The following is a 21,848-nucleotide window of genomic DNA, read 5'->3' as shown; positions in this document are numbered from 1 at the left end:
TTCTGTCTCTCTGCAACACAGAAAGCAGTTTCACAGCCATAATCTCTATGCTCACACCAAAGGCCTATGGGAGGGACAGCCATGGGCAGGAGGCTGATGCAGGCAAAAGAGCATCAGCTGTGAAGCCTGGCTGTTCAGGCTTCAAATTCTGACCCAGTGAGTCACTAGCAGAGTAACCTTGGACAGCTACTAAACCTCTCATCTAAATTGAGGAAAATGCCTTTCTCACAGGGTTAGGAAGATTAAATTATGTAATGCATTAATACACTCATCAGGGTATGTGGCCTATTAAATAATAGGTGTTACTACTGTGTCTTTTTTTAAAGTTTATTGTGGGATCAGAATATTGACAGAGCTGTATCGTTAAGAGCAGTATTCCCCTTGCTAAAACTAATAGGCAGCCCAAGCCTGGCTCCATCCAACCACCTCTTCCAATGCTCTTTAACTGGTGGTGCTTTATGACACCAAGCAATAGATGATGATTATTGTTTCCACTGAATACAGTAAGTTCCTTGATTGGTTTAACATACATAGACTGCCTGAGAGAATAAAAACATCACCATATAATAGGTTAATGGTGAATTAAGGTCTTCGTAGTTGTGGCGGGAGAAAAGGGTTGGCTGCTGGAAACAGTATGGTACCCTGGAGGCTGCATATGTACACACTTAAGAATTCACATCACCTTTAGCAGAAGATTAGAATTCAATGGATATGAATGCTTATGCAGAATCTTCTCTCCCCCCGACATAAATTTCACAAGGAATCTCCTCCATTACTTGATCTTCTAGGGGCTGTTCAGGGCACTTGTGTCCCCGTTTGAAAGTGTAACTACTTTTCTTGAAGGTGCTATTAAATGTTTTCATTGGCTGTGGTTGTGCAAAGTCATTTTGGAAAGGAAGCTCCGTGGAACTGAGGTTGGTCCTGCTTTGTTTGACGCTGGAGGTCAGCGACCCACAGTGGTGGTCATGGATGCACTGGGAGGTGGTGGAGGAGTGCCGCGTCTTCTAGTGGTTGTTCAGTTCTTCTGACAAGTCTGCCAGATCTGCAGAAATGTCTTTGTCCCTTAGCGAAAACAGTTCATAATAAGGAGGATCAAACATTTCTTGGAACCCGGTTTTATGAAAAGCAGTTTTGCAAGCCATGACCTTTTCTTGAGGCTGTTTCACTTGTACTAAAACAGAAATAATGAGAAAGACCAAGACAATCTCTGAAGTAATGCCAATAACTGTCCCATGAGTTTCAGTGATTTGTTCAGATAGTCCTGCCTTTTCTCTTTTCTTTACAATGATTTTCATCCCAAGGGTATACACAATTTTGGACACCATTACAGACTAAAGGATTATTGATGCACATGTTGCTATGGCAAAAGACAGTGCTGCCTGTGCAGGGAGCTGATGATCCAGCAATTTTACTTTTAGCTATATACTCCAAAGAATGGAAAGCAGGAATTCAGTTACTTGCACACCAAAGTTCACAGCAGCATTACGCACAATAGCCAGAAGGTGGGAACAGACAAAATGCCTTTTGATGGGTGGGTGGATAAACAGTATGTGTTATGCTCAACAAAGGAAGTAAAGAGAATTTGAGCTAAGCCGACTACCTTCATCTGCCCACATTTGTATCACGCCTATTCCTGTTTTAAGCATTCCATCATTGGCCACAGTGCTGCGAAACTTGGCCTTCAGGTTTTCAATAGAACTGCTTTCATCGTAGACTGCAACAATGTCTCTCTTGGATTCATTTGAGTGCTCCATTGGATAATCTAGGAACCTCAAATCCTAGCTTTTGGAGTGGCTTTCATGGTCCAGATGCAATCAACGGCTTGGCCAGGTTTTGTTTTCTCTTCTTGTTGTACCTGACTAGAGTGCACTATTCCATCGGCTCCCAAGAGCTGAAACCCACAATCTCCTAGGTAAGTAAAGTCTGGATCTGGAATAAATGAATATTAGTTCTTTTCATCAGAACTAAACTTAATCCACATGAATCTCCCTGTTGATCTGATTAATGGAGGGTTTTTCATGCCGCAGTAATAATCTATAAGGGGAGAGAAACCAAATGGCCCATCTGGAACTTCCAAGGGATCAAACCGACACTCAAATGATGGCTCTATATAATAATGTTCATCGAAGCTCGATTCTTTCACGTGGAGCAGCGTCCAAAATGTAGATACGCTCCTTGTTTGGTGGATATGAGACAGGATAATTTGGTGAAGCAAAATGACCTCATTGCTGGTTTGAATCCAAATGTCATACTGGATTGCAGGAATGTGCTTGATTCCAACATTTTGTCCATCTTTGAGGGCCGAGCAGAGCCCCTCCAGGGCCATGTTCCCTAGCTGCCCGGCGCTTCGCGAGGGGCTGAGGCTGCGGCGCCATGCCCGAGGGGCGCCATCTCCTGCCCCTACACACACCCCCCATCCCCCTCCCCGACAGGCGCCACCTCCTGCTCTGCAGCACCTGGTCCCACATACAGCCAGGGGTAGGGGGGCAGAGGAGTGCGGTTGTGCTGTGTGGGATCACTGAAGTGTTACCACTATATTTCAGATAAAGAAACTGAATCCTTAACATGTGAGTCATTTGTACAAGGTCATATGGCCAAATCGTAGCTAAGCTGGAACTCAAACCCTGCCTACTGATGTCTTACAACCATAAAAGAGGAAGGGAGAGAGGAAACTATGTGTCTTAAGCTTCTGAAAATAGCTGTCAGTTTCCAGAAGATTATCATGCCATACCCAAGCCACAGGTCTAGGTTTTAATATCCTTTATTGAGCACTCACTGTATGCCAAGAATTTAACTTTATTATCACATTCTTCATGGTTCACCTATAAGTTTGGGGCTATTACCCCCATCTTTCTATCTCAGAAGGAAGGTTAAATGTTTGAACTTGGATTTAAATCCAGTTCTGCGATGTTAATGGCTTGTTCTTAATCACTGTGCATGGCCTCTCCTTATGGCTCACATGCTCTAGTCCTTGCAGGGGTTGTGATACAAAGCAGGAAAATAATACTAAACTTGGAAAGAGGCAGAAACCTGGTGTTACAGGTGGAGACAGGAGGCCTAGGGGAAGTGGAAAAAGCAGCTTTGGTAGGATTTGACCCTGGGGAGGACACACTCCTGACCTTCCTTTTTCTTCTTTTTTTTTTTTTTAAATAGAGTCTCACTCAGTTGCCCAGGCTACAGTGCAGTGGTGCAATCATAGCTCACTGCAGTCTCAAATTCATAGGCTCAAGCAATCCTCCTGCCTCAGCCTTCTAAAGAGCTGGGACTGCAAGTGCTCACACCACCACCCCTGGCAATTTTTTTTTTTTTTTTGTAGAGATGGGGTCTTGCAGTGCTGCCCAGACTGCTCTCAAACTTCCTGGCCTCAAGCGATCCTCCTGCCTAAGCCTCCCAAAGCTCTGGGATTACAGGTGTGAGTCACTGGGCCTGGCCCTTCCTCCTTCCTGTGTGCTTGTTCCTGATACATTCTTTTCTGCAGTCCCTGGTTTAAAAGATCCAGGCTTGAATCAAGTGCCAAAATATGGCTGCCAATGCTGGGAGTCTGTGAGCCAGAACCCCAATCTGATGAGAGTGATTTGAGCTAAAGCTCGACCACAGTTCCACAGCACTATCTTGTCAGTTAGGCTGCTTGGATGTCACCCTTGCCATTATCCTTCATTTTTTCCAAAGCAGCATTTCCCCATAAGGAATGACACAGACAACACCAGGGAATTGAAGAGTCAGTTGCCACTTGTTTTTGCATATCTATTCATAGAAGAAAGAATGTCAGGACAGTGACAAATCTTGGGCTTTGTCATCAGAGAACGGGGGTGGATTCTGGCTCTGCCACCACTTATTAGCTGTGTGACTTTGTAAAATTTACCTAACCTCTCTGACCATCTGTAAAATAGGAATAATTAGGGAGGAGGGGCCTGTGCCGAGGAAGACTGCACCAGTGATACCACCATCATCCATCATATCCCAGGATCTGATTCTTGCCTTGGAAAGCCCAGAGATGCACAATTGTCAGTGCTCAGGTGATGAGACCTTCCAGACTGTCTCAAGCTGAGTAAAATGTACACCCGAGTGAGGCAAACACCAGAATCCTGCTTGATTTACTTTACAGTGAAAAATAGTTCTGTCACATGGAGCAGAATGCTTGCGTTAGCATGACTAGTCTGTTTGCTCCTGTCAACAACTCACTTGGGAGGTCAAACCTTCAATGGACAGTTGCTTTGATACATATAAAGCAGAGAAGGCAGACTTTGGATAATTTTGGGATAAGATCACTGGAGTAATTTAAAATTTGCTTTGAGGGCCTACTCTATGCCTGTTATAGGCTTGTGTCCCCCGCAAAAAGGTTCATGCTTTGAAGCCCTAACCCCATGTACCTGAGGATGTGACTGTATTTGGAGATGGGGCTTTTAAATAGGAAATTAAGTTAAAGTGGGGTTGTTAGGGTGGGCCCTGTCCAGTCTGACTGCTGTCCTTATAAAAAGAGATTTGGTCACAGAGACGCATAGAGGGAAGATGGTATAAAGACACAGAAGACGACCATCCACCAGCTAAGGAGAGAGGCCTCAGGAGAAACCAACTCTGACAATACCTTGATCTTGGACTTCAGCCTCCAGAGCTGTGAGGATATACATCTGTTGTTTAAGCCCCCAAGTCTGTGGTATTTTGCTGTGGCAGTCCTACTAAATCATACACAAGGCAGCATGGTATAGGAGAATCTCTCAAAAAAGGTCTTCCAATCAGCAGCAGTAGTCACACCTGGGGAGTGTTTCTAAAAACAAGGAGGGGGCCAGGTGCGGTGGCTCATACCTGTAATCCCGGCACTTTGGGAGGCTGAGGTGGGTGATTGCTTGAGGTCAGGAGTTCGAGACCAGCCTGGCCAACATGGTGAAACCCCCGTCTCTACTACAAATACAAAAAATTAGCTGGGTGTGGTGACAGGCACCTGTAATCTCAGCTACTCGGGAGGCAGAGGCAAGAGAATCGCTTGAACCCGGGAGGTGGAGGTTGCAGTGAGACGAGATCACGCCACTGCACTCCAGTCTGGGAGACAGAGAGACTCGGTCTTAAAAAAATAAAAAGGAAGGGTGGGCACCAAAAGTTTGACCAGTATCAAAGGGTCAGTCCCCAGCAGGGAAGGCCGGGTGTGAGTAAAGCTCAGGCGTCCCCGTGGGTTTGTCTCTGTGCCCAACCCCAGTGATTGACTATGCTGAATCCTCCAGGGAGCGTGGGAATGTCAAAGAGCTGTTCCACTTGAAATCTCTTCAGGACCATGGGATGAAGCAGGCCTCTCCCGGGGCCCTCCCGGAGCACACAGTGAGTGTGGAGAGAGGCATTGTCACCCTAGCTGGTTCCCAGCCTGGCTCTGGCACAGAGGAGTGCTTAGCTATTGTAGAAAGTGTGGCAGCCTTGGGAAATGGCAACGGTTCCAGCTGAAAACACAGGCTTTAAGTCACTTTGCTGAAAATCAATCTGCTGAAAGCTAATTTACTAAAAGCCCATTCACCAAATGACCTAGTTGTTGAATTATTTCGGAGTTTTTATGAGGCTTTTGTGTCATTGTGCCTGCCTCTGCCCTGCCTCTGCATAAATCAGATTATATATGAGTGGTGCTGATGTGCTGGGGGAGAGGGGAATGTTCTTAAACGTAGGCTACTGCAGTCTCTATTTTTGTAGACGTCTATCCTGCCTCAGCTCCTGAATCTGGCCAGTCTCTGCCTCTTACCTACTATTTTGACTCAAATGAGGATATTTTCCTTTAAAAGCAATTTAATCTCTTCTGTATTTTTGTAGGTATGTGCTTTGGCATTCTGTAAAGTTAGGATTGCTGTTGGCTGCAAGCCACAAAAAACCGGACTAACAAGTTAGAAGGTTTTTTTTTTCCTTGTAACTAGAAGTCTGAATGAAGCAGTGCAGAGCTAAAGCTTTCTCATACTTCTTGGTGTGCTGTCATTGACCTTGGCTTCAGCCCTCATGTGGAAAGGTGGCTGCTGCACCTCCACGCATCACATCTATATTCCAGGCAGGAATCAAGGGACAGGACAAAGGGCAAGCAAGAGCCCGACTACTCCTCATGTCAGAGAAACCAGAGCTTTTCAAAGCCCCAGCCAGCATACTTCTTACTGGCTGTCACTGGCCAACACTTGTCACCCCAGTCTGTGCTTCTGCCCACATACCTATTCCCACTGCTGTATCTGGAGGTGAAATGATGTTGGGTGAACTACCCAAGGCCTGGTTTAAGGTTTTATTTAAAAGCAATGTTTTACTCCCTGAGTGAGAGAATAGGACTTTTTAAGCAGCTGAAATCTATAGAACACATTGGGTCATAAGAATCTATGAAATGGGGTTATTACTGTCACTGTAATCTCATTTCTACCCATCAGTTGATGAGGTCTGAGGAAACTCAGTATACAGAGGTGAATAAGACATGATAAGCATGAATTCTAGAGCCAGATAAAATGTGTTCTGGATTACAGGAGAGATCAAACAAGGTGTACTAGGGTTTGGAAGAAAGAAAGGAAGCCCCTCCTGGTGTAGAGGGTTAACATGAGCAGAGTGTCATGTACCTCTAATGCTTATTTTTAAAATTTACATCACTGCAGATTTATTTCTATTTAGTGGTCACCTTTGCTACCTCTACATGCCTGGATTCTAATTCCTAAGCCTCTAGCTGAGCTTCCTGAATGCCAAAGGAAGAAAAAAGCCCCTTGAGTATTTCCTGACAGCCCCAGGTGGGCTCTTAGGAGCAGTAAGTGACTCAGAAAAACCATAAGAAAGATTCACCACAATCTGATTTTTGTTATTTTACTGAAAATCAGTTGGCTTACAGTTAGCAAGCAGTATTGTTAAATCATCATAAACATCACAAAGACTAGCACAGGCAGAAAATTGGATAGTTCTTTAGGGAGAAAATAGTCTATTTCCAGTTACAATGCAATAGCTATTGGGAACAAAGAGAGAAGATGGTTTTAAAACCAAATAGAACTTTCTTATAATTAGCTGTGGAGCCCTAATTTCTTGATCTGTACATTGGGAATAATTATAGCCACATGTAGAAAGCATTATTGTTATTCACCAACATCCGGTTCTCCTCTGCTCTGAGCACAGGGGTCACTGTAGTTCCCTGCTCACTTGAAGTTGGGCATGTCCATCTAACTTGTTCTGGCCAATGAAATGCCAAGTCTTCCAAGTAGAAGGATTTAATAGTGTTGTAGTCTTATCACACTATTTTCCCTGACCCAGGAATTGTGGAATTAGTGTTGATAGGGAGGGTCCATATGATCAAAACAGCCTAGAATCCCAGCCAACATGTAGAGTGTTCCTCAGACTCAGAGCCAAATCTCTGAGTAAGAAATAAACTGCTAAGAAAAGGAAAAACCTCTAAGATTCGAGGGGGGGATGTTTATTACTACAGTATGGCTTGTTACTACAGTATATCCTAGCCTATTCTGACTATAGACATCACAGAGATTAACATTATAGAAGATCTCCCATAGGAAATTATCTAGAAAAATAGTATACCTGCTGCAATAAAGATCTGACAATATTAGTATTATGTATTAATGAAGTACAGAAAAACACTTAGTAAGGATATTAACAAAAGGTGCTGGGAAAAAAAAATAGATAGTCAAAAGCAAAGGAATGAAGTTGGGCTCTTATCAAACACTCTATACAAAAATTAACTCAAAATCAAAGACCGAAACGTAACAGCTAAAACTATAAAACTCTTAGAAGAAAACTTAGGAGAAAAGCTTCATGACATTAGATTTGGTAATGATTTTTTGGATATGACACTGAAGGCCCAAGCAACAAAAGAAGAAATAGACAAATTGGAGTTCATGAAAATTTTAAATTGGTATATAAAATGACTATCAACAGAGTAAACAGGCAACCATGGAATGAGAGAAAATATTTGCAAGTCACCTGTCTGATAAGGGATTAATATCCAGAATATACAGGAAACTCCTAAACTCAACAGCAGCAACAATAAAAATCTGATTAAAAATAGACAAAAGACAAACAGGAATTTATCCGAAGAAGATATACAAATGGCCAATAAGTACATGAAAAGACACTCAATGTCACTAACCATTAGGGAGAGCAAATTCAAAACCACAAGATAGCACTTCACACCCACCACCTACTGAAAAAGTTGTATCAAAAAAAAACTCCAAAAATAACAAATATTGGTAAGGATTGGATAAATTGGAACACTTCTGGATTGGAGCACTGCTGGTTGGAATATAAAGTAGTGTAGCCACTATGGAAAACAGTATGATAGTTTCTCAAAAAGTTAAAAATCAAATTACCATATGGCTCAGCAAATACACTTCTGGAAATGTACCCAAAAGAATTGAAAGCAAGGTGATAATAGATGGGATGTTGTCCCCTCTAAATCTCATGTTGAAATGTAATCCCCAATTTTGGAGGTGGGGTCTGGTGGGAAGAGTTTGGGTCATAGGGGCGAATCCCTCATGACTTAGGGCTGTCTTCAAGATAGTGAGTTCTCCTGAGATCTGGTTGGTTGAAAGTGTGTGACATCGTCCCCATCATTCTCTCTTGCTCCTGTTCTTGCCATGTGAGATGCCTGCTCCTGCTTCACCTTCCGCCATGATTGTAAGCAGCTCAAGGCCTCACAGAAGCTAAGAACATGCTAGCGCCATACTTCAGGTATAGCCCACAAAACCATGAGCTAATTAAACCTCTTTACATTTTTTTTTTCTTGTTTCCAGTGGGGTTGGATTTTTTAAATTTTTTTTAGGTTCAGGGGTACATGTGCAGGTTTGTTATATAGGTAAATTGTGTGTCACAAGGGTTTGGTGTACAGATCATTTCATCACCCCAGTAATAAGCATAATACCCAATAGGTAGTTTTTTAAATTCTCTCCCTCCTCCCCACTCAAGTAGGCCCCAGTGTCTGTTATTCCCTTCTTAGCGTCCATGTGTATTCAATGTTTAGCTCCCACTTATAAATGAGAACATGCGGTATTTGGTTTTCTGTTCCTGTGCTAGTTCACTTATGATAATGGATTCCAGCTCCATCCATGTTGCTGCGAATGACGTGATCACATTTTTTTTATGGCTGCATAGTATTCCGTGGTGTATGTGTACCATATTTTCTTTATCCAGTCTACAATTGATGGGCATTAATGTTGATTCCATGTTTTTGCTATTGTGAATAGTGCTGCAGTGAACATACGCATACATGTGTCTTCATGATAGAATGATTTATATTCCTTTGAGTATATACCCAATTACGGGATTGCTAGGTCGTATGGTACTTCTGCTTTAAGTTCTTTGAGAAATCGTCACACTACTTTCCACAATGGCTGAACTAACTTACATTTTCACCAGCAGTGTATAAGCATCCCTTTTCTTTGCAACCATGCCAATGTCTGTCATTTTTTGCCTTTTTCATAATTGCCAGTCTGACTGGTGTGAGATAGTATCTCATTGTGGTTTTGATTTGCATTTCTATAACGGTTAATGATGTTGAGCATTATTTTTCATATGCTGGTTGGCCTTGTGTATGTCTTCTTTTGAAAAGTTTCTGTTCATGTCCTATGTCCACTTTTTAATGGGGTTTTCTCTTATAAATTTAAGCTCCTAATAGATTCTGAGTATTCGCCCTTTGTCAGATGCATGGTTTGCAAATATTTTCTCTGATTCCGTAGGTTGTCTCTTTACTCCGTTGATAGTTTCCTTTCAACAGAATAAAAGGAAACTAAGGTGCAGAAACTCCTTAGTTTGATTAGGTCCCATTTGTCAATTTTTGTTTTTGTTGCAATTGCTTTGGCATCTTTGTTATAAAATCTTTGCCAAGGCCTATGTCCAGAATGATATATCCTAGGTTATCTTGCAGGGTTTTTATAGTTGTAGGTTTTACACTTAAGTCTTTGATTTTTGTATATGTTGTAAGGAAGGAGTCCAACTTCAGTCTGCTGCATATGTCTAGCCAGTTTTCCCAGCACGATTCATTGAATAGAGAATCTTTTCCCTGTTGCATATTATTGTCAACTTTGTTGAGGATCAAATGGTTGTAGGTGTGTGGCTTTGTTTCTGGTCTCTATATTCTGCTCCATTGGTCCGTGTGTCTGTTTTTTGTACCAGTACCATGCTGTTTGGTTACTGTAGGCTTGTAGTATAGTTTGAAGTCAGGTAATGTGATGCCTCTAGCTATGTTCTTTTTGCTTAGGATTCCCTTGAATACAAGCTCTTTTTTGGTTCCATATGAATTTTAAGATTATTTTTCTAACTCTGTAAAGAATGTCACTGGTAGTTTGATAGGAATAGCATTGAATCTGTATATTGCTGTGGGCCATATGGCTATTCTTACAATATTGCTTCTTCCTGTCCATGAGCATGAAGTATTTTTCCATTTGTTTGTGTCATCCCTGATTTCTTTGAGCAGTATTTTATAATTCTTATTGCAGATATCTTTCACCCTCCCTGGTTAGCTGTATTCCAAGGTATTTTATTCTTTATGTGGCTATTGTGAATGAGATTGCATTCTTGATCTGGCTATCAGCTTGAATGTTGTTGGTATATAGACATGTTACTAATTTTTGTATGTTGACTTTGTATCCTAAAACTTAGCTGAACTTATTAAATCTAGGAGCTTTTGGGCAGAAACTATGGGGTATTTTAAGTAAGAATCATGTCATCTGCAAGCAGAGATAGTTTGACTTCCTCTGTTCCTATTTGGATGACTTTTATTTCTTCCTCTTGTCTGATTGCTCTGGCTAGGACTTCCGGTACTATGTTGAATAGGAGTTGTGAGAGTGGAAATCCTCGTCTTGTTCTAGTTCTCAAGGGGAATGCTTCCAACTTTTCCCCGGGGTATGATTTCAGCTGTGAATTTTTCATAAATGGCTCTTATTTTGAGGTATGTTCCTTCAATGCCTAGTTTGAATGTTTTTAGCATACAGGGATGTTGAATTTTATTTAAGCTTTTCCTGCATCTATTGATATGATCATGTGGTTTTTGTTTTTAGATCTGTTTATGTGATGAATTACATTTATTGATTTGCATGTATTGGACCAACCTTGCATTCCAGGGATAAAGCTTATTTGTATGTGGTGGGTTAGCTTTTTGATATGCTGCTGGATTCAGTTTGCTAGTATTTTGTTGAGGATTTTTGCATCTATGTTCATTGGGGTTATGGGCCTGAATTTTTCTTTTTTTGTTGCATTTCTGCCAGGTTTGGGTATCAAGATGATGCTGGCCTCATGAAATGTGTTAGGAAGGAGTCCCTTCTCAATTTTTTGGAATAGTTTTAGTAGAAATGGTACCAGGTCTTGTTTATATATCTGGTAAAATTTGTCTGTAAATCCTTCTGGTCCTGGGGTTTTTCTGGTTGGTAGGCTTTTTATTACTGATTCAATTTTGGAACTCATTGGTCTGTACAATAATTCAATTTCTTCCTGCTTCAATCTTGGGAGATTATATGTTTCTGGGAATTTATCCATTTTTTCTAGGTTTTCTAGTTTGTATGCATAGAGGTATTTGTAGTAGTCTCAGAGTTTTTTTGTATTTTTGTGGGGTTGGTTGCAAATGTCTCCTTTGTCATTTCTGATTATGTTTATTTAGATCTTTACTTTCTTTGTTAGTCTAGCTAGTGGTCTGTAAATCTTATTTATTCTTTCCAGAAACAAACTCCTGGATTTGTTGATCATTTGTATGGTTTTTCATGTCTCAGTTTTCTATAGTTCAGCTCTAATTTTGGTTACTTATTGTCTTCTCACAGTTTCAGGGTTGTTTTGCTCTTGTTTTTCTAGTTCCTTTAGGTGAAATGTTGGTTGTTAATTTGAGATCTTTCTAACTTTTTGATGTGGACATTTAACATTATAAACATCCTTCTTAACATTGCCTTAGCTATGTCCTAGAGATTCTGGTATGTTTTATCTTTGCTCTCACTAGTTTCAAAGAATTTCTTGATTTCTACCTTAATTTCATTGTTTAACCAAAAGTCGTTTGGGAGCAGATTGTTTACTTTCCATGAAATTGTATGGTTCTGTGTGATTTTCTTAGTATTGATTTCTATTTTTGTTGTGCTGTGGTCTGAGAGTGTTCGGTATGATTTTGGGTTTTTTTGAATTTTCTGAGATTGTTTTATGGCTGTTGTGTGGTCAATTTTAGAGTGTGTTCTATATGCAGAGTACAAGAATGTATATTCTGTTGGTTTTGGGAAAAGAGTTCTGTAGATGTCTGTTAGGCCCATTTGGTCAAATGTTGAGTTCAGGTCCTGAATATCTTTGTTTGATGCCTCAACAATCTGTCAAATACTCTCAGTGATGGGTTGAAGTCTCTCACTATTATTGTATGGTTATTTAGGTTTCTTCATACATCTCTAAGAATTTGCTTTATGAATATAGGGGCTCCTGTGTTGGGTGCATATATACTTAGCATAGTTAGGTGGTCTTGTTGAATTGAACCCTTCACCACTATGTAATGTCTTTGTCTTTTTTGATCATTGTTGGTTTAATCTGTTTGGTCTGAAATTAGAATAGCAACTCCTGCTTTTTTTTTTCCTGTTTTCTGTTTGCTTGGTGCATTTTTCTCCATCCCTTTACCTTGAGCCTATGGGTTGTGTTGCATGTGTTGTGAGTCTCTTATAGATAGCATAGAATTGGGTCCTGCTTCTTTATCCAACTCGCTACTCCATGCCTTTTAATTGGGGCATTTATTAATAGCTTGTTTATAGTCAAGGTTAATATTGATATGTACAGGTTTTATTCTGTCATCATGTTGTTAGCTGGTTATTATATCAACTTGCTTGTGTGGTTGCTTTATAGTGTCAATGGTCTATGTACTTAAGTGTGTTTTCTTGGTAGCCAGTAACAATCTTTGCTTTCCATATTTAGAACTCCCTTAAGGACCTCTTGTAAGACAAATCTGGTGGTAACAAATTCTCTTAGTATTTGCTTGTCTGAGAGTGATCTTATTTCTCCTTTTCTTATGAAGCTTAGTTTGGCCAGATATGAAATTTTTTGTTGGAATTTCTTTTCTGTAACAATGCTGCATATAGGCCCCTAATCTCATCTGGCTTATAGGATTTCTACTGAAAGGTCTGCTGTTAGCTCGATGGGATTTCCTCTGTAGGTGACTTGTCCCTTTTCTCTAGCTTCCTTTAATATTTTTTTCTTTCACTTCAACCTTGAATAATCTGATGTCCATGTATCTTGGGGATGGCCATATTGTATAGCATCTCACAGGGGTTCTCTGCATTTCCTGAATGTTGGCCTCTCTAGCAAGGTTAGGGACATTTTCATGGATGCTATCCTCAGATATGTTTTCCAAGTTGCTTGCTTTCTCACCCTCTTTTTCAGGGATACCAATGAATCATAGATTTGGTCTCTTTATGTAATCCCATATATCTAGTAGGATTTGTTTATTCTTTATTGGTTTTCCCTTAATTTTGTCTGACTGAGTTATTTTGGAGAATTCATCTTTGAGCTCTGAGATTCTTTCTTCAGCTTGGTCAAGTCTGCTGTTAATACTTGCAACTGTATGATAAAGTTCTTGAACTGAGTTTTTCAGCTCTAGTAATTCAAGTTGTTCTTTCTTAAAATGGCCATTTTGTCTTTTATCTCCTGTATTGTTTTATTGTATTCCTTAGATTCCTTGGATTGGTTTTTTACTTTCTCCTGAATGTCCATCTTCCTTCCTATCCATCTTCTTCAATTTCTGACATTTCAGCCATTTCAACCTGGTTAAGAACCATTGCTGGGGAACTACTGCTATTTGGAGGCAAGAAGACACCATGGCTTTTTGAGTTGCCAGAGTTCTTGCACTGGTTCTTTCTTATCTGCATGGGCTGATGCTTCTATCTTTGAAGTTGCTGTCCTTTGTATGGGTTTTTTTAATGTTCTTTGATGCCTTTGGGGGTTTGATTGTGGTATAAGGTGGGTTCAGTCAATTGGTTTTGAGTCTAGTCCACTGCTGAGTCTTGGAACCCCCTCTAATTAGTGTCACGTTTCTTTTTTGGGGGGTTCTGGTCCATGGGGCTCCCTCAAGTAGAGGCTGCAATTGGCAGACAGGCTGTATGCCTGCTGGGTCAGCCCTAATTGTCTGTCTGAGTGCTTCCCAGGGAAACACAGTGTTGCACCCACCTGCAGAGTTCAGACAGAAGTGGGACTGTGGGCTGCAAGCTGTAGTGAGTGTGGCCTGTCTGGCTGCAATAGGTGGGGATAGCTGGAGTTGCCTGTCTTGTCATTTAGGTATTTCTGGGATAACAGGAGGCTGTTCCTCTCAGGAAATTCAGTCAGAAGTAGGACTCCTGAGCTGGGAGCACTAGCAGGTGTGGTTCACCTGGCTATGAGAGGTAGAGGTAGGTGGAGTCACTGAACCCACTGTTTGGCTGCCTCCCAGAACAACAGGAGGCTGTATCTGCTGGCTACATTCAGACAGAAGCAATACCACTTGGTTGGAAGCTCTAGCAGCCCTTGCCCACCTGGCTACCAATGGCAGGGGTGGCCCATCCTGCCATCCAGGTGCTTCCCAGGACAACAGGAGGCTGCACCTGCCAGCTGAGTTCACACAGAAGTGGGACCACTGGGCTAGAAGTCCTAACAGCCATTGCCTGCCTGGCCACCAGGGGTAGGTGAGGCCACCCACTCTGCCATCCGGGTGCTTCCTAGAATGACAAGAGGCTGTGCCTGCAACTGAGTTCAAGTGGAAGTGAGATCACTGGGCTGGAATCTCTAGCAGGCGTTGCCCTCCTGGGCTACCAGTGGCAGGAGTGGGTAGGGTCACCCACTGGCTGAGTTCACACAGAAGTAGTCTGCTGGGCTGGAAGTTGGTGCTGAGCCTTGTCTGGTGAGAGTGGGCAGAGCAATCCTACTGCTCCCAGGCACTGTGACTGCAGCCCCTACTGGGGCCATGACACCAGTGCTGGTCTGCTGCAGACGTCAAGACTTGTAGAGGTCCCCTTAGACTCAAAAGTTTCTCCTGCAAAACATCCAAGTGGCTCTCTGTCTCAGTTTAGAAGTGTGGTTGGAGAGGTTGTGTTAGGGTGCCAGGGGGATTCTCCTATTCCCAGTTTTTCATAGATCCCTGTGAAGAATGTGAATCCCTCAGGAGGCTCTCACTCACTCACCCTTTCCCATGATGGAGAGGTTCTTCCAGTTCTGCAATGAGCCCAGACAGGCTGGTGCCCAGCTTCCCTCCTCTCTGCTCTCTGTGTTCCCTGGCTGCTTTGATGGATCCTGATGTGTTTGTCAGATGATCAGCCTGCAGAGTCAGCATTGACTAGCCCTTTCGTTTCCTCTCCATGACAGCAGCACACATGAGCTGCTTCTAGTCTGCCATCTTGACCCAACTCCCCTAAACTTCTTTTCTTTATAAGTTACCCAGTCTCGGGAATTTCTTCATTGTAATGCAAGAACAGACTATCACACAGTGTCTGGAGGAGATATTTGTATACCTATGTTTATAGCCACATTAATTACAATGGCAAAAAGGTGAAAGCAATTCAAGTGCCCATGAATGGATAAACAAAATGTGGTGTTTTTATTTTATTCAGCTTTTAAAAGGAGAGAAATTCTGACACATGCTACAACATAGATGAACCTTTGAAGACAGTATACTAAGTGAAATACACCAATCACAAAAGAACAAATACTGTATTAGTCGAATTCATACAGAAAGTAGAATGGTGATTTCCAGGGGCTAGGGGGAGGGAGAAATGGGGGGTTATGGGTACAAAGTTTCAGTCTTACAATATGAAAAAAGTTCCAGAGATAGATGGCAATGATGGTTGCCTGATAATGTGAATGTACTTAATGTCACAGAACTGTACATGGCCAAGTACAGTGGCTCACATCTGTAATCCCAGCACTTAGGGACGCAGAGTCAGGAGGATAGCCTGAGCCCAGGAATTCAAGACCTGCCCAGGCAATATAGCGAGACCCCATTCTCCATGAAAAGAAAAGGAAAAAACAAAACAAAACTGTACTTGTAAAAGTAGTTAAATTGGTAAATTTTGTGTTATGTATATTATACCAAAATTAAAAGTAAATTTTAAAAAGTTAAAGGTGAAATTTAAGAGAAGCTCAGGAAATAAAAGAGAACTTTTACTTGAAGATTCTAACTGCTTGGCTTGGTCCATCAATGCAGAGGTGCCTCCTGACATGAAATTCTCCATGGGCTTTAGCTCTAACTTGAAGAGAAATGTCATCACAAAGGGGCCTAGTGTTACCTGGTCCTTTATTGAGCTGAGGTGAAGCAACTCAGACAAGGTACTGGAAGAAAGTGACTCCATTTCTGTAAGGTCAAGGAAAGCTTCTTTGTGTCAGCTGGGATTTGATTCAGCTGTGTATAACACCAACACCCCCAAATAACTTTGGCTTTAGAAAGATAGGGGTTTATTTGGCTTTTGCATAGAAAAATCCAGAGACAGACCAACTAGAAATGGCTTGGCGACTTTACAATCGATGTGACCCCAGCTATCACACCACAATTCAGATGGGATGAAGGAGGAAGAAGAAATGCATGGAGAGCCTGCCACTGAGTGAACTCCCTTTAATGAGATTTCCTAAAAGCCCTCCCCAGTGATCTCTGCTTACATAACCTTGGCTACCCCTAATAGCAAGAGATTGGAAATACGTGCCTTTAGTTTAGCACATTCTCCCCCAACTACAGCTGGGATTCTACTTCCAAGAAGGATGGAGAAATGGATGTTTATTTTGCAGCTAGCAGTGTCTGGGGTGATCGATACCTCCTTCTTGGTCTGTTTCTTCACACAACTAATTTCCAAGTTGTATGCCCGGCTGTGGGGAGCTCAGTTAAATGTCTGTACTCCGGAGTTTGTTTTCTGCACTGAGAATGGGGAGATTCTCACTAGAAGATGTGTCAAATGTGGAAAAAAAAGTATTTAAAGGTCTAGGGTAGCATGAATGAGAGATGCCCATTATATTCTCTAACCATCAAATGATGTGGTTCAAGTAAAAAGGGAGGCTCAAAACATGATAGTGTTGTGTAAAACATTTGAGATGTTTCAGGGGTGCTAGATCAACCCCTAAACTCATGAATGAACCTCAAAAAATCACTGAGGAATTTTCTGCCTGGAGGCAACCCTACCCACCTTAAATAAACCATCAGGCAGCCTCTTAGGAAGGAAAGCGCAAAGGAGTAGAAAGGAGGCCTGGGCTTGGGTCTTAGGTCTGTTCCAAATGAACGGGTGATCTGGAGGTTCCTGTAGCTGTTTCCTCTCTACAAAATGGGATTCTTGGGAGAATTCCTGAGGAACTGTATGTATTACTTTGTAATCTATAAGAGCACTGAAGGAATATTAGTTTGTTGCTTAGATAGTAAGCGATTATTAATTTAAATTCCTATGATATAGAAGACAATACACTAGACACTTTATATAATAATGTTCCTCTACTTCTGTCCCCAGTCATCACATGCCCAACCCACACAATCCTGTAAGATGGGTGTTATCTTCATTTTATGCATCAGGAACATGAGATTCAGAGCCATTGAATAACTCCCTCCAGGTCATGCAGCTAGTAAGTGGCTACGCCTAAGTTTCAGTGGCATTCTCTCCATTTCCAAAGCCCATTTTCTTTGTGCTAGTACAATGATGCAGAAACCACACAATGCTTCAGAAAAATGTACTTTTCTCAAATTGCCCTTTGTAAACTAGGGAGAACAAAGAACGTAAAGAAACTACTGCTGCGTTAAAGAAAAGCTGAACTTAAGAGTTTATGTGGCTCTCCTGAGGCTGGGATGTGGGAAGAAGTGGCAGAGTCCTGTCACATCTGCTCAGAAAGCACCTCATCCACTGTGCTTTCCAGGATTTAATCAGTCAGGGAAGGACAGGAGGGATCCTGTCCTTTTGTTTCTGAGATAATTGTCACTTGAGAGGTTGAACAGCAAATGAAAACATCTTGTTCTGAGAGAAAAGTGTCTGTGGAGCCTTCCCTTTCACATACCATAATCATCCCACCAACTTTCAAAGCTCTGCTGAATTGACTTCCAAACTGAGCTGAACTACCATGCCTGGGAGATATTCAATGTGGTAGTCGAATAGTATCTCCCTCTGCCAAAAAAAAAAAAAAAAAAAGCCCATGTCCTAATCCTAAAACCTGTGAATGGTCCTTTATATGACAAAGTGTCTCCTTTGCAAATGTGATTAAGGACCTTGTAATGGGGGAAATTATCCTGGATTATAGAGTGGGGGGCAATATTATCACATGGGCCTTAAAAGAAATAACAACTTAAGCCAGACATGGTGGCTCACGCCTGTAATCCCAGCACTTGGGAGGCCAAGACGGGCAGATCACTTGAGGTCAGCAGTTCAAGACCAGCCTGGCCAATATGGTGACACAACATCTCTACCAAAAATACAAAAATTAGCCGGGCATGGTGGCTGTTGCCTGTAATTCCAGCTACCCAGGAGGCTGAGACAGAATTGCTTGAGCCTGGGATGTGGAGGTTGCAGTGAGCCAAGATCACACCACTGCACTCCAGTGTGATCTGCACTGGGCAACAGAGTGAGACTCTGTCTCAAAATAAATAAATAAAACAAAATAATTTAAAATATTAGACGCATTAAAAAAAAAAGCAAGAACTTTTTCAGGTGTAGTCAGAGTGAGATGTGACTACAGAAGAAAGGCACAGAGAGATGCTGGAATGTTGCTGGCTTTGAAAATGGAGAAAGGGGGCCCACAGCCAAGGAATGTAGGCCGTCTCTAGAAGCTGAAAAAGGCCAGGAAGCAGCCTCTCCCCTAAAGCCTCCAGAGGGAAGGCAGCCCTGCCAGCATCATGAGTTTAGCTCAGTGAGACCCATGGTGGACTTCTGACCCACAGAACTGTAAGACAGTAAATCTGTATTGCTTTAGTCGACTGAGTTTGTTGTAATCCGTTACAGAAAGCAATAGAAAACTAATGCATTCAGGATAATTACTGGTTGAAAAGTTTCTTAGTCTGTGTAGCAGAACATTTCTAAAAGGTCTGATCCTTTTTTCTCACTGTCCATTTCCAATTAAGCCCCATACCCTGTTGATTCTGCCTGTAGAAGTGATACCTGTGACCTAAGCTACTACCTATGAGGACTGGCTTTGTGCCAGGCTCTTGCTATACGCTTTCCATACATTTTCTTCAATCTTTACACCAACGTTTGCCAAGCAGGTAATACCTTCTTTTTATCAAATGAGGAAATTGAGACTCTGGGAGGCTAAGTGACCCGCCCAGGTAGAAATGGTGGAGCCAGCATCCAAACTCCCTTGTCCTCTCTGGCAGGCACCTCTGGGAGGAACGTCATCAAGATTCTGGAATCTGGCTTTTCCTTTCCATCCTCGCAGCCATGGTCCTGGCATAGGTTCTTATATCCTGCTGAAGTGGCATCGACGTCGTTTGTCTGGGGTAATACCCGAGGTTCATTGCCTCATACCAAGGAAATTAAGAATGCAGACACACAAGGAGTGAGTTTAAGAGCAGAAGTTTAATAGGCAAAAGAGAAAATCTCCTTTGTGCAGAGGGAAGAGGTTTGGAATGGATCTTCCGGTTCCCAGTGCGATGAGGTTGGTTTTATAGATGAGCTTGAGGCAGTGTCTGATTTACATAGGGCACAGAGGATTGGTTGGACCAGATGTTCCATTTACATAGTGCACAAAGAAGCTGACCGCTCCACCCTAATCTCTTATTATGCAGATGGGTTCTCTACCTGGCTGGCGCCATGTTACCTGCTTGTTTACTGCACACATGATGACAAAGAAAAGGTGGGAGCCTCCATGTTGAACATACCTGGCTTCCAGGTAGTCCTTTTCTATTGGCATAGCTGCCGGCATTTACCTATGTAAGCTTCCAGCTTGCTTATCTATGTTTGCAGCTTGATTCTTCAGGCTGCTTTCTGTTAGAAAATTATTTTGGGGGCTGCTTTTTATTAAAAGCGACTTCCACTGAGAACTCTCTTACGCTCACTATCTGCCTAAATAATTTCTTTTTGGCTCCTTTATCACTGCCAGGGTTATGTCTTGTGATTCCTAGGATGTCTCTCTCCCACCTCAATTGTCCCTGACAATTTGTTTTGCACAGAAGGCTGAACAACTTGTCGAATTCATAGACCTGTTCTTGCCACTTCTCTGCTTAAACCCTCCCAGCGTTCACCACTTTATGTTGCATAAATCCAACCTTCTTAGCATGGCATTCAAAGCCCTTCACAATCCAGCTCTGAGTTCAATCCACCCCTTCAAACTCTCCATGCTACAGACCCATCAACGTGTTAGTCTTGCACCAGAATATGCCATGGACTTTTCCTCACCATTTATATGAACCTCCTCATATGACTAGGAAACTGTGGATCAGAGATGAGAAGGTAGCCACCTTAGGTCACATAGTTTGTATGAAACAGAGTCAACACTAGATCCAAGTTCCCCATTAGACCACACTGGAGCCTTAAAGATAGAATCTCTGATCCCTCCGCTTCCCTCATCTACTGCCATTACTGAGTGAACATAGCCACTCTCTTGTCTGAAGGGCTACTAATCTGTTCTCCATATGGAATGGAAATCTAAGTTTACCTCTCCATTGCTTAAAATTCTTCAATAGCTATCCATTGCCCTTAAAATAAAGACCCAAACCCTTAAGGATATGGCCCCTGCGTGACTTTCCAGCTCCATCTCAGGACCCTCTGACTCTCACTATGATGCCGTCATTCAGACTTCTCTATGTGCCTTGCACCCTCTCACCACGGGGCCTTTGCACATGCCATCTTCTGTCTGGGAGCTCTTCCTTCTCTCCATCTCTTCTTCTGTCATCTCCGTTAAGCCATCCCTTCCCCAGGATGCCTCTCTGATGCCAGACTGGGTACAGGCCCCCTGGAAGGTGTTCTTTCTCTGCTTCCAGTATTTTGTTTCTGTTTAGTCCATCAGTCTGTAATGATCTATGTGTGTGATTGTTTTATGTCTTCTCTCCATCAAGCTCTGTGTTCCATGAGTTTGAGCAAGGACTTTAACTGTTCACTTTTGTATCCCCAGTGCCGATTACAGCACCTGGAATGGATGGAACTCAATAATTATCTGTTAAATGAAAAAGCACCAAATGGCCCCAGCTGTTAAGTAGATCTTGTAATTTCCATGTATGTGTCTTATAAAGGAGAGAGCAAGAGAGGTACCAAATGTTTCAACCTACAGAACTGGATATCCCATCCTGTGGGTTGTTTGTTGTTTTTGTTGTTGTTGTTGTTATTGCTGGTATTAATTTTGTTTTGCTTTGTTTGGGGGAAAAAGATTCAAATGTTGTAAAATACATAAATAAAACCTTTCTGAAACAGATTTAAACTGTAAGAAAACTCTAAGCTGTCAAATGAATAAATTTAAATTAATCTTATTTAAGAACACAAGTAGGAACTCATGACAACTTCTCGGGAAATGGGTTTAAAAAAAAAAACACTAATATCTTTAGCACCAGGGCTGCACAATTAGGCACAGAACATTATTTTATTTAATTTTTACATGCAGGATAGGCATGTAATATACTATGTATAGAATACCAGACATAGCTGATTCCAAAATTATCATTGCTTTCCACTTCTTCTCACACATTTCTTAAGATGCCATCTGATCCAAAAGTGTTTCAAATACTGCTCCAGGCTTTTAGCATTTGGATGTCTTTTGACATCAAAGGAGAGTTAATGAGCTCTGTTTGACTAAGAAGGATTTTCAACTTTAGCTTTTTATTATGAACTTGAAAAATGCACATTTTGTCAAGAGTTTACCTGTCATCTTCCTGTCCACAATCCAGCAGAAAGTATAATAAATACCTTACTTTCAAATTTATCCTAAAATAATTCTCTTCTCCTTGTCAACATCACCAGAGGTGTATTCATACTTTTTCCTAAACCTCATCC

The 21,848-nt window shown here is 41.8% G+C and overlaps 1 long non-coding RNA gene and 1 pseudogene across 1 annotated transcript in view; one reads left to right on the top strand and one right to left on the bottom strand.

Annotated features, from left to right (window-relative positions):
- FER1L6-AS2 (FER1L6 antisense RNA 2) overlaps positions 1–21,848 on the top strand; it is a 125,452-nt gene that overhangs the window by 27,315 nt on the left and 76,289 nt on the right. The window lies entirely within an intron of this gene.
- On the bottom strand, positions 499–2,465 carry LOC392268 (neuropilin and tolloid like 2 pseudogene; annotated as a pseudogene).

This window comes from Homo sapiens, chromosome 8 (genome assembly GCF_000001405.40).
Source record: "Homo sapiens chromosome 8, GRCh38.p14 Primary Assembly".
Taxonomy (NCBI): Eukaryota; Metazoa; Chordata; class Mammalia; order Primates; family Hominidae; genus Homo; species Homo sapiens.
The sequence above is the reverse complement of the archived record's forward strand: the minus strand, read 5'-3'. Positions and strand labels throughout refer to the sequence as shown.